The sequence below is a fragment of the Homo sapiens genome, chromosome 4 (assembly GCF_000001405.40).
Source record: "Homo sapiens chromosome 4, GRCh38.p14 Primary Assembly".
NCBI lineage: Eukaryota > Metazoa > Chordata > Mammalia > Primates > Hominidae > Homo > Homo sapiens.
The window spans coordinates 75802383-75821917 of NC_000004.12; the positions used below are offsets into that span (position 1 = coordinate 75802383).

The 19535-nt window shown below is 37.8% G+C and overlaps 1 protein-coding gene across 4 annotated transcripts in view; it reads left to right on the plus strand.

Annotated features, from left to right (window-relative positions):
- USO1 (USO1 vesicle transport factor) overlaps positions 1 to 11904 on the plus strand; it is an 89710-nt gene extending 77806 nt beyond the window's left edge. For all 4 annotated transcript variants that reach the window (NM_001290049.2, XM_006714397.4, XM_006714396.5 and 1 more), the window contains 7 exons: positions 1752 to 1890; positions 2758 to 2921; positions 4104 to 4190; positions 6571 to 6669; positions 8050 to 8157; positions 9778 to 9993; positions 10824 to 11904. In NM_001290049.2, the coding sequence (NP_001276978.1) occupies positions 1752 to 1890; positions 2758 to 2921; positions 4104 to 4190; positions 6571 to 6669; positions 8050 to 8157; positions 9778 to 9993; positions 10824 to 10913 (903 nt within the window). In that variant the 3' untranslated portion in view covers positions 10914 to 11904. The remainder of the gene's footprint in view (positions 1 to 1751; positions 1891 to 2757; positions 2922 to 4103; positions 4191 to 6570; positions 6670 to 8049; positions 8158 to 9777; positions 9994 to 10823) is intronic.
- The last annotated feature ends 7631 nt before the right edge of the window (positions 11905 to 19535 follow it).

Here is a 19535-nt window from a genome sequence, read left to right on the forward strand (position 1 = left end):
TACTTGGGGCTGCAAATACAGTTGATTTGGCAAAAGAAAAGAGTGATTGACACAATTACTCTAATGACTTCCTTAGAAATGTTCATTTTAAATATTCTTACCATTTAAAATGCTATTTGGCATTAGTCCACAAGCATCTAGAACTATAAAATGTTTATATCCTTTGAATGACATTTGATAATTCATCCTAAGGGAATTCTCCAAAATTCAGGAAAACAATTATATGGACTAAAATATATAATGTAATGAAATTTGTCACTTTGAAAAATGGAAAGCAATATTAAGTAGATGCAATACAATTTATATTCAGTGTTTTTGATGCTGAGGTTGCTTTCCATTTTTCTTTTTCTTTTCTTTTTTTTTTTTTTTTTTTTTTTTTGAGACAGTTTCGCTCTTGTTGCCCAGGCTGGAGTGCAGTGGCTGAGCACGGTGCCTCATGCCTGTAATCCCAGCACTTTGGGAGGCCAAGGTGGGCAGATTACCTGAGGTCGGGAGTTCGAGACCAATCTGACCAACATGGAGAAACCCTGTCTCTACTAAAAATACAAAAAATTAGCTGGGGATGGTGGCACATGCCTATAATCCCAGCTACTCAGGAGGATGAGGTAGGAGAATCGCTTGAACAACCTGGGAGGCGGAGGTTACAGTGAGCCGAGATCGCACCATTGCACTCCAGCCTGGGCAACAAGAGCGAAACTCTGTCTCAAAAAAAAAAAAACCCAAGAAAAAAAGAAAGAAAGAAAAGAAAAAAAATGGAAAGCAACCTTAGCATCAAAAACATTGAATATAAATTGTATTGCATCTACTTAATTAGATAGGATTAAAAATTATGGTTTGAAAACTATGTAGCAATATGGGGAAATTATGATAGAATGTTAAGTAAATTAAAGGCTACATAATTATATATATATACCTATTGTGACAAATTTTAAACCATGGATTGGGAAAAAATTAGAAGAAAATAAAGAAATACATAAAATTCTGGCCGGGCACGGTGGCTCACGCCTGTAATCCCAGCACTTTGGGAGGCTGAGACCGGTGGATCACCTGAGGTCAGGAGTTTGAGACCAGCCTGGCCAACATGGTGAAACCCCATCTCTACTAAAAATACAAAAACATTAGCTGGGCATGGCAGCGGGCGCCTGTAATCCCAGCTACTCAGGAGGCTGACGCAGGAGAATTGCTTGAACCTTGGAGGCAGAGGTTGCAGTGAGCTGGATTGCACCACTGCACTCCAGCCTGGGCGATAAGAGCGAAACTCCGTCTCAAAAAAAAAAAAAAGAAAAAAAATACATCAAATTCCAACTATAGTTTTATTATGATGGTAAAAGTTGGAAGCTCTTTTTTCAATTTCCTATATTTATTTTCTCATTGGCTTTTAATATTAAAAATAATATAGAAGCATATGTATACATACATATACTAAATTTCTTAAATAGTTTGATGTAAATTTTTAAATGGTTTTATGACCATAAAATGGAGTTTTTTCATTTTATTTCCCACTATAATTGCAGGCTATGCCATGATGTTTATTAATGGAGCCTTCTTTGAAATCTTGTAGTTCTGCTGCATGTTAATTGGCCTTGATGGATATATTAACACACCAAGTTGCTTAATTACTGAACGATTTTGGAAGTGTTAAGCACTTTAGCATACTGTCCCAAAATGACCTCTAATTTTTAAAATGTGTTCACCTTCTTAATGCTAACGAGTATGACTTTAAAACACATGAATTATGTTTTGTTTCACAGGATCTCCAACTTGAGGAATTAAGGCAGCAGGTTTCTACATTAAAATGTCAAAATGAACAGCTCCAGACGGCAGTCACACAGCAAGTATCACAGATCCAGCAGCACAAAGACCAGTATAATCTTCTTAAAATACAGCTAGGTAAGCATAGCTAAGCCATCACTATGATAGCACTCAGGTCATTCTTTCCTCAAGAGCTAGACAAAGTAAAAGATTCTTTCTGTGGACTAGTATTTTTCTAACCTTAATCATGGTGACAAAAATGTAAATCGGAGTTTAAAGCAAAATAGCATGATAGTTAAGAGCAGTTAAGACTGGACCTTTAGAGATTGAAGTCCAAGCTTCTTGCTACCTGTTTATCTGGCCCATTGATTCTCAACCCTGGCTGCATATTAGAATCTCCTGAGATGCTTTTTTAAAAAAAAATACCAATGCTGATACCACAATAGTGTTTCTGATTTAATAAATCTGGGATTAGGTCCAGGGATCAGTAACTAGTATAAGCCCACCAGGTGATTCTAATGTATAGCTGATTAAGAATGACCGCTGTAATCTTTCAGTTTCCTCTTCTGCAAAATGAAGATAGTAATAACATTTGAGAACTAAATGATATAATAAATGAAAAATTTAAGTTGTGCCTGGAAAATGGCAAGAGCTCCACTGCTTTTAAATAGTATTATCCTACGGTGCTTGTGAAGATTTTTTAAAAGGATTTTATTTTCTCATATTCAGTTGACAGAATTGGAATTAAAATTACTGTAATTCTTAATCATAGATCACCAGACCATGCAGTTTAGTCAAGGCTGTGCTGTTTTTTCTCCCAGAAATCTGGAAAATACTATCAGTTCACTATTTTTATCAGTATACCATTCTGCAAAGATGAAATGTGATTGCAAAAGTGCTGCCAAAGTAATTGAATGAAGAAAATTACATATTTGAATCTTCTACTTCAAAAATGAAAAACTGAAGTTTCCCGTTGGCTTTTAAAATGTTATGTCTGTCTAACAGGAAAAGACAATCAGCATCAAGGTTCTTACAGTGAGGGGGCTCAGATGAATGGCATTCAGCCAGAAGAAATTGGTAGATTGCGAGAAGAGATAGAAGAATTAAAACGTAATCAGGAACTTTTACAAAGCCAGCTGACTGAAAAGGACTCTATGATTGAAAATATGGTAAAGTAAATGTTTAAGAAGTTAAAATAAGAGTTCAAGAGTGGTTCTCATTATCCTGCCTTTTTTTTTTTTCCTTGGATCTCTTAAGCCAGAATATCATATGTTAAGATTTTACAGGATGGGCCAGGCACAGTGGCTTACGCCTGTAATCCTAGCACTTTGGGAGGCTGAGGTGGGCGGATCACCTGAGGTCAGGAGTTCAAGACTAGCCTGGCCAATATGGCGAAACCCTGTCTCTACTAAAAATACAAAAATTAGCCGGGCATGGTGGCAGGCACCTGTAGTCCCAGCTACGCAGGAGGCTGAGGCAGGAGAATCTCTTAAACCCAGGAGGTAGAGGTTGCAGTGAGCCGAGATCACCCCACTTCACCTCATTGCCTGTGCGACAGAGGGAGACTTTCCATCTAAAAAAAAAAAAAAAAAGATTTTACAGGATGAGCTTTAGAGTCAAACTGTTTAAACTTCAATGCTTCCTGGCTCATTGAATTTAAGCAATTTAGTTAACCTCTTTAAACTTGTTTCCTGATCTATAAAATGGTAGTGGTAATGTCTAGTTCATTGTTGTGAGATTTAATTTACTCTTCTAATAGATGGAAATTATTTAATAAATGTTTGCTTTTATGCTCTTTCTCCATATGAACGCAGGTAAATGCTTAGATTTAATAAATTGCTCGGTAAAATAAAAATTTTATTTTTTTTTCTTTAGAGACAGAGTCTCGCTCTGTTAGCCCAGTCTGGAGCGCAGTGGCACAATCTCGGCTCACTGCAACCTCCACCTCCCAGGTTCTAGCAGTTCTCCTGCCTCAGCCTCCCGAGTAGCTGGGATTATAGGTGCACGCTGCCACGTCCGGCTAATTTTTTGTATTTTAGTAGAGATAGGGTTTCACCGTGTTGCCCAAGCTGATCTTGCATTCCTGAGCTCAAGCAATCCACTGGCCTTGGCCTCCCAAGGATTACAGGCATGAGCCACCGCACCCAGCCTACAAATGGATTTTTAGCCATGAAAAAGTTGTAGACAATATGTGCTGTGTTGGAATTTTATCTTGGGCATAAAAATTAAAAGGTTGGTGTGAATTTTTTGGTAAGCACATATGATATAGTTTATATGTGTACAGTTCTGTTTTTTTTTCTCATCTCTTTAGACTGAATATATTTTATAGTTTATTTTTGTGCTATTTGCAGAAATCTTCCCAAACATCTGGCACAAATGAACAGTCTTCAGCAATAGTTTCAGCTAGAGATTCTGAACAAGTTGCAGAATTAAAACAGGTAATTTTCCACTTTGATCCAATTCTACTTTGTCATGTTTTAATTATAATAGAATAACAGCCCTATAGTTTCACAAATCTAGAACTATATTAGCAGATGTAAGTAAAATTTAAGTTAAGACAGCCATTTGAAAATCCAGAAGCTGTTTCTATTTATATGGTAATAGTACTTTGCTTTTTATTGTGTTTTTATTTTTCAGAGGTATTCCTTTTAAAAAATCTCAGCATCTCACCCATGTTATTTATAGATTATCAGTGAACTAACAAGGAAAAATTTAAATTTATAACTTGCAAATATGAAAATGTAAAATCTTATGCCTAATTTTAATATACTATGATAATTGCTTGACTAAATGTATGGGGTTTTTAAACTGTTTTGTCTAGAAAATATAGAATTTTAGAATTGGAAAAGAGAAGAAAGGTAAACTTACCTATATCTCAATTAAATGACTCCAGCTAAAAAGCAAAATAAACTTTTTCTGTGGTAATTTATAACATCTAGAAAAGCAAGTTAAACTTTTTTCTACTTGCTTATAGTATTTATAAATTCCTGTTAAACTAGATCATACAGATTTACCTTTATCCAATGAAAAAATTTAAATGTATTGTTCAAGAAAAGAATCAAAAGAGAGAAATGAACTCTGTATACTTACAATTAAATAATGTAGCAATTGGAAGAAAACTCTAGAGTATATTATCCCTAAACAGGTTCTGGGGTTGTTTTTCTTTCCTCCTCTCTTTTCTTCTCTCTCTTTTCTTCTTTCCCTCCTTTCTTTCTTATTATAAAAGAAATGCATACTTTTTTTTTTTTAATCCAAGCAATACTAAAAAATGACCATCCTCACTAACCTAGGACTAACTGTCTTCCTTCTCTCTCCACTAAGCAACTGGCCCTAGTCCACTGACATGGCTGCTTTGAAAGAGAAATGACTGAACATAGAGAAATTTTGTCTTATTTTGATAATGTCCATGTACCTCAGAGTAGATTCTAAATATCTGACCTCTTTTTAAAAAAAGAATCACTTATCATTTGAGGATTTTCAGGTCTCCAATATTTGTTCACAATGTTTTATTTGTGTGGGAAGATTAATATGCTCTTTTGGTTTTATTAAGTGTACCTATACTAGAACTGTATTAAAATTAAAGGGAATTAAGTTACTAATATATAGCCTTAGTTTGTAAATTCTAAGTAAAAATAAGCCATTTAATTATCTTTCCCAGTGAAACTTTAATTAGATATTTTTATAAAAAGAGAATTGCCTTTTAGTTTTTTTACTTTCTCCAGTTTATTTACTTTTATAAACTTTAGATTGTTAAAATATATGTATTTTTTAAGTGACAGTTTTGTTTTTTATAATATATAGTAAAGTACTATATATAGAAAACTGTAACTCATTTTAATAACTAAACAAAATAAATTAGAAAAGCCACAAATGTACATGATAGAAATTTTAAAGAGAACCAAAAGAAAAGAGCCTTTTACTTGCCATTGTCCCACCACTTACTCAGTGTCTCCAGACATTACCAAATGTCCTCGGGGATGGGGGGATATGGGGAGAAATCACTCCTGCTGAGAGCCATTGTTATAATTGCCTTTCTTTTCCTGTACTTTTTTTGGGGGAGGAGAAGGTGAGAAGTTTGGAAATTCAACATTAATAAAAACTTTCAATTAATACCCTGGTTTTCATTATAGTACTACTGCTTTCATCTGTGTTTGGTGGTCCCTAGTCTAAAGATGTCCTGTTTTGCCCAGCCACATAATAAACCTCAAGTCTTCATCCAGGAAAGGAGGAACGGTTGCCTGATGCCTAAGATTGAGACAGGGATCTGATGATCTATTTCTTAAATAGTCTTTTAACCAGGCCTGCAGTTTTTAACCTCATTTTTATCTGTACTTCCAGTGGTATCTAATGATACCAGTTCCTAACCTTTCTGGTAGTTAATGCATTCATTGTAAGTCAGGTACTATCTTAACTTTCTCAGTGGTCATCCTAGCTTTCAGCTTTCTCAGGTGTGCTGATTTAGTTATCACTGTTACTTGCTTTCTCAAAATTCCCCAATTATATTGCTCTCTTCTCTTACTGTTCTTGTTTTTGTAGGTTTCTTCCTCTCTCCCTCCCATCCTTCCTTTCTTTCTTCCTTCTCCCCTCCCTTCCTGTCTTTTATGATTTTTTTTTTTTGCATGGGATTTCAGGAGGGAGCAGAGGTAAATGAATGTGTTGAATTTTCCATCTTGAACCCAAAATTCAAGAATAGTTCTTTAGAGTTAGATTTTAAAAGTAGGAGGTTGTAAATCATTTTTTTAAATGTCTCCCTGTAAATATTTCCTTGATGAATTTAATACCATTTAATGTTATGACTCAACTATTTTTGTCTCTTAGGAACTGGCAACTTTAAAGTCTCAGTTAAACTCACAATCTGTGGAGATCACCAAACTACAGACAGAAAAGCAGGAACTGTTACAGAAAACAGAAGCGTTTGTAAGTATTTTCTCTTTTTTCTCTGGAAGGTAATAAAGACAAGGTTGATGTATTATTTCTTAGCCACAATTAAAAAGAAACAAATTCATCAGATAGCACCTTCTCTTTAGATTACTTACTAGCCGGTATTCTAGTAACATAGGCTTCATGTTCATGGTGACAGTCGTTTTATAGTCAGTCTCACCAGATTAGTTTATTCAGTTACTTAATAGTTTATTTTGCTGGTATTACATTCTATTTCTGTCCCTTCAGTCCAAGCTGGCAGTTTTTCTGCTGTCATAAAATATTCAGAAACCGTTGTTGTTTTCTCCAGAACATTCCTTCTCATACTTTTGCAATATAGGTAGACTGAGAATTTTCCAAATCTTCTAATTCTGATTCTTTTTTGCTTAGCAATTTCTTCTTCAATTTATCTCTCTTCTCTCACATTTAACTTTAAGCAACAAGGAGAAACCAGGCTGCACTCCAACACTTTGCTTAGAAACCTCAGTAAAATATCCAAATTCATTATTTACAAGTTCTGCTGTCCACAAAACACTGCAACACTATTTGGCCAAGTTATTTGCCACTTTATAACAAGGATTGCCTTTCCTCCGATTCCCAGTAACATGTTCCTAGTTTTCATCTGAGACCTCACCAAAAGCACCTTTAACATTCATATTTCTGCCAGCATTCTTCTTCTCACTATGACCATGAAGCTTCTTTCCAACTCCGCTCTTTTCTTTCTGAGCTCTCACCAGAATCACTTAATGTCCATATCTCTAGCAACAGTCTCATCAAGGTAATGCAGGCTTTGTCTACCATGCACCTCTCTTACAGCCTCTACTCATTACACAGTTCCAAAGCTACTTCCACATTTTTAGATATTTGTTGTGTCACTACCCGACTTCCTAGTATTTTAGAAAAAAGACAAGGAAAGACTGAAAAACTGTTATTCAGGAGTGTCTCCTCTAGCACTTGAGAAAAGATTTGCATTTCACTAATAATGATATTTGGCTCAATTTATCTACCTATCTAGGGTGGTAGTATGGACTTATAGGAAATTTATGAAGGAAAGGCTTTGAAAAATATTCTGTGTTTATTAAATGCTGGGTTACAGTTACATTAGAGCTGCCTTGCTGATTACTTTTCTGGGCTTACCTACCTTGAGGCACCTTAGCCCAGCCTTCCTCGTACTCTTATGAGATTTGATGCTCTTCCATGTGGGAACAGCTCATCTGACAGTGGAGAGCACTTTGTTGCACATAAATACATAAGGAATTATATTTTCTGTTAGTGAAAGTAAAATATCAAAATGGCAAAAAAATTAAATAACCCTTTGGGAGTTCATATTGATTGTAATGTTTAAGAGACATCTTTTTTTCCAATTTCTAATTTCAGGCAAAATCAGTTGAGGTACAAGGAGAGACCGAGACTATAATAGCCACCAAAACTACTGATGTAGAAGGAAGACTGTCAGCATTATTACAAGAGACCAAAGAGTTAAAGGTTTGTTTTTGGTGCAACTTTTATTTACTGCATATGATATGAAATGAACTCTAGGAAATTTTATATATCTTTCAAATTCTTAGATTTATGAAGAAAGCTAATGATGTGTAATTTTATCTCACAACATTTTCACTCCTATATTGATGATTTAAGATGGCACAAATGAAAATTTTTTTTGTTTTGGGTTTTTTTGTTTTGTTTTGTTTTTTTGAGATGGAGTTTCGCTCTGTCACCAGACTGGAGTACAGTGGCGCGATCTCGGCTCACCACAACCTCTGCCTCCCAGGTTCAAGCAATTCTCCCGCCTCAACCTACTGAGTAGCTGGGACTACAGGCGTGCACCACCACACCCAGCTAATTTTTGTATTTTTAGTACAGACAGGGTTTCACCACGTTGGCCAGGATGGTCTCCATCTCTTGACCTCGTGATCCACCTGCCTTGGCCTCCCAAAGTGCTGGAATGCTGGAATTACAGGTGTGAGCTGCCGCACCCAGCCACAAATGAAGCTTTTAAAATACTATTTCAAATAATGATAATATGTAAGATAAGCATACATATGCATGTACTATAAAAGTAAAATTTATTGAAAATATTTTTGTTTTCTTTCTTTCTTTTTCTTTTTTTTTTTGAGAGAGAGTCTCAATTTTGTGTTCCAGGCTGGATGGAGTGCAGTGGCATGATCTCAGCTCACTGCAGCCTCCACCTCCCAGATTCAAGCGATTCTCCTGCCTCAGCCTCCTGAGTAGCTGGGATTTCAGGCACCTGCCAACATGCTCAGCTAATTTTTGTACTTTTAGTAGAGACGAGGATTCGCCATGTTGGCCAGGCTGGTCTCAAACTCCTGACCTCAGGTGATCTGCCCGCATTGGCCCCCCCCAAAGTGCTGGGATTACAGGCGTGAGCCACCACACCCGGCCTGTGTTTTCTTTTTAAGATCAACATCTAATCACAATAACAAAACAAGGAGTACAAATTTAGCTAATACACAAGCCACATGTAGGCTTTCCATAAGCCGTGGAACATAGGCACATTAAATCCTGTCAGCATATTATTGTGTGACAGAGACATCAGAATAAATAGCATGAAGAAAGGAATGAGGTCACATTAAGGAAAATAAGGAAAATAATGTATAATTGTGCTTTTTGGATTGTGGCCAAATTATTTTATTTTTAAACCATAGATTTTTATTTGAAGCTATTTTCATTTAATTGTATGCTTGAAGTTGGGATAAAAAATTTTTTTTTAACTTGAGCTTTGAGTTCTAAAATTCTGGTACTAATCAGACTTCTTCTGTAAAATGCTTTGTGTTTCTGTTTACTCCTTTGATTATCTGAAATGGTACTGTTTTTTTTAAGTCTCTTAAAGGTTTTTTCAGGGATAGCTAACTAAAACTATTTTTTGGATGTTAAACTATTTTTTGGCAATAACCATTTTTGATGAACAGTCTAATAAATTCATGTTAGTGTGTGTGTTAAACCTCCTGTACCCTTAACCTCCACCCCTAAATTCCTTAGGTTGAACAAGTACAGTGATTTGTCATAGAAAGAAACTATTTGTTAAAAACTCTAGGAAAGTGAGTGCTAATTTTAGATTCCTGCCTTTCACCTTTCTTTTCCTAGAATGAAATTAAAGCTCTGTCTGAGGAAAGAACTGCCATTAAAGAGCAGCTGGATTCATCTAATAGTACCATTGCCATTTTACAAACTGAGAAAGACAAACTAGAGTTGGAAATTACAGATTCTAAAAAAGAACAAGATGATCTCTTGGTGCTCTTGGCCGATCAAGATCAGAAAATACTGTCATTGAAGAATAAACTCAAGGATCTTGGTCATCCAGTAAGATTAAAATGTCTCCAAAAATGATTTGTATTATGTTTTAGTATAATGCATTTAAAAGATTTTTAATGTAACATGGAAAAGTTGTGCCTGTATTATAGGAATGGATATGTGGGTTCATGAATATGGTACCATCTATACTGTTTTCACTGTTTTCATTGAATTTACTTAATACACAGATTAGGTTCAGTTTTCAGTACTTACAGACTATTTTCTTTTGGACCGTAAGCCTAGAAAGTGAATTGATTTGATTGGTAACAAGACTGTAGTCACCCAAGCATGTCATTATCTTTTGCCATGTTTGTTTCAGATTTGTGTGTAAAGAGGTGTAGCCATTTATCAGCAAAGTTAACTGATATATCTCATTCATATTAGAAATGACAGAGAGCCTTGGCATCAAATCAAAGAAATCAGATGGCTTATATTCTACTGTAGTTACTAGAATACAAAATTTGTCTGGGCACAGTGCTCACACCTGTAATCCTAGCACTTTGGGGGGCTGAGGTGGGCAGATTACCTGAGGTCAGGGGTTCGAGACCAGCCTGGCCAACATGGTGAAACCCCATCTCTACTAAAAATACAAAAATTAGCAGGGCGCTTGGTGGCAGGCACCTGTAATCCCAGCTACTCGGGAGGCTGAGACAGGATAATCGCTTGAACCTGGCAGGCAGAGGTTGCAGTGAGCCGAGATCGCACCATTGCACTCCAGCCTGGGTAACGAGCAAAACTCCATCTCAGAAAAAAAAAAAATTATCAGTAGTATATATTGTTAAATGTTGAATGTGACATGAACAGATTTTCACAATATTAAATACGTCTTTTTCCTCTAGGTTGAAGAAGAGGATGAACTTGAATCTGGAGACCAAGAGGATGAGGATGATGAAAGTGAAGATCCTGGCAAGGATCTAGATCATATCTAGTTTTCAAATCTCTAGGAACAATAGAGATTATATCATAACTCTGAAGATGGACTCTAAACTTTGGTTTACCTCCATGGAAAATAAAGATTTAGAAACCAGGTGGAAAACATTCACTATTAAGACTATTGATATATTTTTGTAATGTTGCCACCCATGTTGAAAACCTTAAAACTGAATTTATGTAGAACACACATCTTTTATTTAAATCCATCTGAACTGTCCCAAAATGTAATTTGCAAAGAGCTTCAAACACCAAAAATATACCATTTTAAGGCATGTGGTGACAATGCTATTTGCCTTAGTTCATTCGTTGTTTACTTTGCAAAATTTGTGACTTTTAAGTACTAACACATTTGATTGAATGTGTATTGAATTGGAATTATTATTTCTAAATTCAGCATTTGAGTCCTTAGTTGATGATTTTCTTTTAAAGAAATTAGTTTATTTAAAAGCAAGATAGCCTGGGTTGGGAGTTAGTGCATATCATCAGCCCTCCATCTAATGTGATTGCTAAGATGTGCAGGATAGGACAGCTTAGAATGAGTGCCTTGACACCTACATATGGCTGCATTCCATACCTCAGTGAAGAAGCCGAAGGATGCTGACACACAGTGATGTGGAGGGCATTCCGGAGAAACTTTTGCAACAGTGTATTAATGTGATTGGTTTTCTTTTTGTTTTAAGCTAAACATCTAAAACAAATTTCAAGTTAACAGTTCATACAACTCAGATTTAGTAGTATTGTTTATCATAAAACATATTATGTTCCTAGTTTTAAAAAGACCCAAAGTATGATTAATATAATTTATTGGCATTTTTGCTGAATAGGTTTAAGTCAGATAATAGATTTTAAAAAAGCAAATGAGGCAATGTGTCAAAATTTAATGTTTCATAATAAAAATAGATACGTTGACTTAATCCTTGGTCATGGTTCCCTTTGTTTACATCTTAAAAGTATTTTATTCTTAATAAAAGATGAGGCAAGTGAAAATGATGAGGCGACTTTTCTTATTAGGGGTACACAACTATAACTGAATGTTAAAAACAATCTTCTTTAAAACCAATGATTATGATTCCCTAAGATTGGAGGGGGTTAGAAGTACAGAAGTAGAAGAGGTTGGAAAAGGGTTTGGACGTTTTTAAATTCAGCACTGGAGTTCTTGGCAATGATTTCCTGTTGAAGAAGTGGGTTTACTTAAAGACAAGATAGCCTGGGCTAGAAAATAACGTATTTATCTGCCTTCTGGGGTCAGGAATAGGACACAACTTTTGAAAGAGAAGGAAGGTCACTGTCTTGATGAAGGAGACAGCTGTGTGTTACAGAGCACTCGTGAATGCTGCACTGTGCCCATGTTCCACCACTACTGCCATCCTAAGGTGGCACTTGCCATCAGAGAAAGAACTATATTACTGTCACCAGACCAGCTCAGATAGGTGAGGTCTTCCTAAAGTTGACAACCACATAATGAACCATGAGTTAATGACTACCTTTCAGGCTAACGTACGGTTAAAGAAAAATGGATCAGGAGTGAGAATTTGTAAATACAGAACACCAAAGATCTTCATTAAGAAACATCAGCAGAATCAGTGCTGCTGTGCTGAACTCAGTCACTCAGGATGGCTTGTAGTAGAGAAGACAGGAGGCCTCATAGCTGCACAGTTCAGCCCAGAGCCAAAGGGACATCTTCCCAACCCCAGCTGTAATTTTTTGCTGGTGAGCATCCTAAACTGGTCTCTGTCTCCAGTCCGGTTGTTACCTCTCCGACCCCACACTCCCACCATTCTCCATCTTCACCACAGTGAGCTATGGCAGGTGCCTACAGTTTGGAGTCCTTAGTACAGTAGATAAGATTCTTACCCCTAAGGTGTTGGTATTGGGAATTGGAGCCCTTGGAAGACAATACAGTCTTGGGGACAGTGGTCTCAATAATGGGATTAGTGCCCTTATGAAAGAGGCCCTGAAGAGACACCTTGCCCTTCCGCCATGTGCGAGTAGAGTGAGAAGATGTGTCTATGAGGAAGTGGGCCTTGACCAGACAGCACAACTGCCAATGCCTTGATCTTGGACTTCCCAACCTCCAGAATTGGGCTAAGTAAATTTCTGTTGTTTATAAACCACCTGATCTATGGTATTTTGTTACAGCATTCCAAACAGACATGACAGATGACATAAATTCTGCTTTCTCCTTTCTCACTTTGCTTTTGCACATGCCCTTTCCTCTGGGTCAGCCCAGGGCTACAGTAGTGGAGCAATAATCATAAAGCATGAAACCATATTTGTCCTTATGATTTGAAACTTATTCAAGTGTAGTTTATACCTCTAGCACCTCCAAAAGAAAAGAGTACCCAAAGTTACTAAAAGAGGTAAAGTGACAGCTCACATTTTAATGGGTTGAGTTACTGGTCTGAAATTATGCTGATAGAAAAAGCAAACCCTTATGTTTCATAGTTTTGTTACAACCAGTTAAGGGTCTCATGATGCTCATCAGAACTAGTAATCTTCACTGGTATAGCAAAACGTATTAAATCATTCAACTATAGGCATTGGGAATATAACGGTGAAAAAGACAAAGTCCCTTTCCTCATATAACTTACATTCTAGAGTGTAAACAAGCAAGAATAAATCTAATAAAAATTCTACACCTTTACCTTGTTTCCCCCCACCTTTTTTTTGTTTTGTTTTTTTGAGACAGAGTCTTGCTCTGTCACCCAGACTGGAGTGCAGTGGGGCATTCTCGGCTCACTGCAACCTCCACTTCCTGGGTTCAAGCAATTCTCCTGCCTCAGCCTCCCCGAGTAGCTGGGACTATGGGTGCCTGCCACCCCATCCAGCTAAGTTTTGTATTTTTAGTAAAGACAGGGTTTCTCCATGTTGGCCAGTCTGGTCTCAAACTCCTGACCTCAGGTGATCCGCCTGCCTCAGCCTCCCAGTGCTGGGATTATAGGCGTGAGCCACCACACCCAGCCCTCCCCCCACTTTTTAACCTATTGTTTATATCTTACTGTACTGTCTATGTCTTGGAAAGTTGTAGTTACTATTTTTGATAGGTTCATCATTTAGTCTTCCTATGTAGAATAAGAGTGGTTTATACACCACAATTACAGTGTTATAATATTCTGTGTTTTTCTGTGTACTAACCTTCAGGTGGTTACTTACTGCTCATGAACATCCTTTTCTTTCTGACTGAAGTACTCCCTTTAGCATTTCTTGTAGGACATATCTGGTGTTGATGAAATCCCTCAGCTTTTGTCTTGGAAATTATTTTCCTTTCATGTCTGAGGGATATTTTCACTGGATTTACTGTTCTAGAGCAAAAGGCTTTTTTTCCTTCAGCACTTCACAAGGTGGTATGTCATGTCACTCTTGGTCACAGGCCACAATCAAGGTATCAGCCAGGTTGTGTACTCATCTGCAGATCCAACTGGGAGAGAATCTGCTCCACAAACTCACTGAGGTTGTTAGCAAAATTCATTTTCTTATAACTGTAAAACTGAGGGCTTCAGTTTTTTTGCTGGCTGTTGATTGAAGTGTGCCTTCAGCTACTAATGGCCCTAGAACCCCTAGTTCTTTGCCTAATGGGCTTCTTCAACATGCTCACTTGCTTCATGAAGGCAGCAAGACTGAGTCTCATATAATGTAACATGATCACGGGGGTGACATCCATCACCTTGCCATATGATGTAACACAATCATGGGAGAGATTGCCCATCACTTTTGCCATGTTTTATTGGTTAGAAGCCAGTCAGGTCCTACCCACCGTCAGGATAGGGCATCACACAAAGGCATGACTACCAGAATATAGAGATCATTAAGTTGCCACATACTTTTATTTTCTTGAACCTAATTGTTAGTCTCAAGATGTTTTCAAAATAACATAGGGGTAAGGGGAACTGGGGAGGTACAGTTGGAAGGGGATAATACGTTTAACAGCAAAGGTTTGTGTGAAACCCCACCCACCTTATTTAGTTTCAGACTGAGATCTTTGCAAATGGACAACTAAATAGGTCAAAGTACCTATCACATTAGTCAATAAGAAATGTAACAATGGCCAGGTGTGGTTGCTCAGACCTGTAATCCCAGCACTTTGGGAGGCCAAGGCGGGCGGATCACTTGAGGTCAGGAGTTTGAGACCAGCCTGGCCAACATAGTGAAACCCTATCTCTACTAAAAATACAAAAATCAGCCAGGTATAGTGGCGTGCACCTGTAGTCCCAGCCACTGGGGAGGCTGAGATACAAGAATTGCTTGAACCCGGGAGATGGAGGTTGCAGTGAGCCAAGATCACGCCACTGCATCCTGCCTGAGCAACAGAGCAAGACTCTGTCTTTAAAAACAAAAGGCAAAAAACAAAAAAAAAAAAAAAGAGAAATGTAACAGTATAAAGAGAGAGATGTAATAGTGTAAAGCTGTCAACCACGATCTAGATATTAGTCTCTTACAAATTTGTATGTTCAGGTCAGTTCTCTGACCTTCATTTCCACTTGTTGTCTCTAGTATCTCAGACATCTCACATGTATCAAATGTTAAAAATCAAATTCATGTTCCTCTCCTCCCCATATCTGGTCCTCTCTTATGCATATCTCAGTAATTTGGCACCATCTTTTATCCAATTGCACAAACAGGACAGCTCAGACTCATCTTTAATAACTACCTCAGTTTTGGTCTGAATGCCTAAAAAGTTCTCATATTTGTCCATCTTCTTCCATCTGCCTGGTATTCTCTCCTGGCTCTTAAGCACTTGCTCTAACTGAAAGGGCCACTTGGCAAGAAACTGGGGCAGCCTCCCACCGACAGTCAGCAAGGAACTGAGGCCCTCAGTCCAGCCGCTCAGAAAGAAATCAACCTGCTCAACAACCACTAACTGAGCTTGGAAGTGGTTCCTGCCCCAGCAGAACATGAGCTGACTGTAGACCTGGCTGACACCTTGATTGTAGTTTTATGAGAGACCCTGAAGCAGAGGGCCTAGCAAAGCCATGCCAGATTTCTGACCCACAGACATTGGGAGATGGTAAGTGTGTATTGTTTTAAGCCACTTAGTTTGGGGATAATTTATTCTGCAGCAATGAATAACAAATATATAGGAGGTGGTAGTACATAGTACCTAGTTATCTTCTTTTTTAAATTGTTTTTATTTTTTATTTTTAGAGACGGGGGTCTCATATGTTGCCCACGCTGGTCTCAAACTCCTGGGCTCAAGCAATCCACCTGCCTCAGCCTCCCAAAGTGTTGGAAGGCAGTGAGCCATTGCACCCTGCCCCCTTTCTTTTTAATGTCTCTTTCACAATTTTGATAGTTTTTACCACTACAAATTTCTACCTTATGTGTTGGGATGAAATCTGCTTTCCTGTTGTTGATTGTAGTTTGCTTCGTTATGATCCTGCAGTCTTAAGCAGCAAGTAGGTACCCCCGTGCCTGCTCTCTAGGCAATCTTCCCTGCTTTTTCAAGTGTTCCTTGGTGGTTCCTTGAATAAACTCTGTCTGTGTACACTGTACCCAGATTGAGCAGAAAAGACAATCACCTCCATGTTTTGAATACTTTCCTTGTCTGAAAGCCACTTACTCCATGTGAAGCAAGGCTGGTAAGGTGCTCAGTAAATGTTGGCTGTTAAAATCATGTTCTCAGGCCGGGTGCAGTGGCTCATGCCTGTAATCCCAGCATTTTGGGAGGCCGAGGCGAGTGGATCACCTGAGGTCAGGAGTTTGAGACCAGCCTGGCCAACATGGAAACCCCGCCTCTACTAAAAATCTAAAAATTAGCTGGGTGTGGTGGCGTGCACCTGTAATCCCAGCTACTCAGGAGGCTGAGGCAGGAGAATCACTTGAACTCAGGAAGTGGAGGTTGCAGTGAGCCACGATGGCGCCATTGCACTCCAGCCTGGGTGACAAGAGCAAAACTCTATCTCAAAAAAAAAAAAATAAATAAAAAATCATGTTCTCAATGTAGTCCAACATTTTAGTAGCTTTTTAGGAGACACTGTAGCATTGCAGACTTGTTGCCTGCTTATTTTCCACAAGTGCTGTTGTTAAGCAGTTTTGTATTTGAGCAGCTGTTCTTTTTGACTCCCAAGGACGCTCCAGTTTAAATTTCAACTTGTAAAGTTCCCTACATTGCTGCAGCCTTTCAGGCTCTTTTTTATATTCTGATTTTTATCATAAACACTTCATATTCTCCATCTCTAAAGAAAAAAACTGGTGGAGGAATTGTTTTACCCTGCGGACCTCACCATGTTATTGCCACAATTCAATATGCTCATGCAGTGGAAAACTCATAAAATTTCAGGTTTATTTTTTTATTTAAGATCAGTTATAACACATTATATAATTGAGATTGCTTATGGTTTAGAAGTGCTATTAGATATCTAATAAAGATACAGAATAAACATATAATAAAGATAATAGGATTCTGAACCTCATTTAATATATCTAAATAACTTTAAAATTTTCTAATCTTATATAATTGGTATTTTTCTTGTTAATAAATACAAAGCATCTAGTGTTGAAAAAGTACACAAAGTACTTTTGCAAAGTACATTGCAAAAGTAAGACATTAATTTGTCTTAAATCATAATCTCTCAAAACTTTCATACTAAGGCAAGTAAATGAATACATTATGACAAAAATTATGTAGATATTGAATTCAAAGCAGTATCTTCCTTGTTCAAGTTGCGGTATGAGCATATCTTTATTCTGTTTGGTCATTTTTGAAGGGTGTTAACAATATGCTGCCATTTCAGTGACAAATTTCTCATATCAAAGCACTCTTTCTCCCAATTTAATAATCTTGAGTCATAGTAACAATCAGTATTCAAAGGAAAAAAGTTTTGAGTTAAAAGATTTTAATATTTAAGGTAACTTGGGTTATAAGTAACAGAGAACCTAATTCAGAATAAGTGAGACTAGAATATTTGGAAATGAGCATAGAAAACTCCCGTGAGATATCTTGCTGTCATAGAGAGTTGAGAAATGAGCCAATAATTGGAGTAGGATGTGGGGTCAACAGGGAGACATATTTTAAAATAGGAAATACTAAAGGAAATACACTGATGGAAATGTTTGGCTAGAAAAGAGGAGGTGTTTACAGTGCTAGAGTCGTCCTTGGGGATAAGGTCTAAAGCACAGTGGCAAGGGAAACCTTGGATTGGTTTATAAACAATATATCTGTAGTAACAGGAGAGAAGGTGGAGAATATGGATTAAAAAGGAAATTGATGGGTCTGTGGTGGTGGGAATGTGTCAAAATTTTATCTCATTGCTTCCATTTTCTAATTTAAACAGGAAGCAAGATACCCATTGAAAGTAAGAACTGGGGAAGAAATTTGATGAAAGTGGAGATATTATAAAGATAGATGTCTTAGAGTGGAGTGTGGGAAACTGAATGGGCCAGGAAAATGTAGTTCCAAGCATCAACTTCAGACACAAAAATGTCCAGAGGAGTGAGACTTTATTGTCTGTGTCTCTTTTTGAGGGCCTGGAAATCTTTTCTTGAAGCTTCCAGCCGACTGCCTATCAGTAAGGGTTAACATCTCTGAACATGTTTAGGTCTACCTGGGAAGGTGACCTTGGGTCTGCCTTCTCACAGCACTGTTCCCTTGGCAACTACCAAGTTAAGCTAGTTGAGGAATGCTTTGTGCTAGGAACTGACTACCTGCCTTGTTTGCTGTGAAATCCCCTATCTGTGGATCTCCACGTGAACTGGGAGAGCTATGAGTTGGCACCCAGACAGACAACTGATGAGAGACCTACCAAGTGAAGCCGGGCACTTCAATCTTCCTCAGGAGCTATACACACCCTAGAAAGGTGATGGAGGCCAAGAAAATGTATACATAGTAGTCTCTGAGCCTCCAGACGACATGAAGATACTATGCACTCCGTATTCCTGTATTGTATCACTCTATAAAGTTAACAAATGAAGTATTAGAATGAAGTCTGTTATATCATATGAGTTTTACTGGCAACCAAAACCTGTGACTGGTGCTGATAGGGACAGAATTGTATTTGAAGCAGGATTGGCATTCAGATCCTCAATTTGCATCTTCCTGTTTTATGGTCATAATTGGCTCACAGACCCATTTACTGGCAAACCTATTACTGTCAAAGGGAATGAAACCACCATGATTGCCTTGACTAATTGCAGTTAGTCACTCACGTTCCTGGTGTGTAGTAGGTGAGTGGGCAGCACCTCTTAAAGCACACTTCTCGGGGTGGGTGATAGATACATAAACAAAACAAGGGTTATGTTAGGAAGAAGGAAACCTAAACCCTTGCTCCTACACTTTTAAATTTCTGAGCGAATTACAAAACCTCTAAGAATCTTAGTTTCTTCCTGGAGCTAATTATACCTACCTAATAGGGTTATTGTGAAGATTAAAATTATTGAATTTCTTTTTTCTTTTTTGAGACAGAAGCTCTGTTGCCCAGGCTGGAGTGCAGTGGCACGATCTCGGCTCACTGCAAGCTCCGCCTCCCAGGTTCACGCCATTCTCCTGCTTCAGCCTCCCGAGTAGCTGGGACTACAGGCGCCGGCCACCACGCCTGGCTAATTTTTTGTATTTTTAGTAGAGATGGGGTTTCACCATGTTAACCAGGATGGTTTCGATCTCCTGACCTCGTGATCTGCCCGCC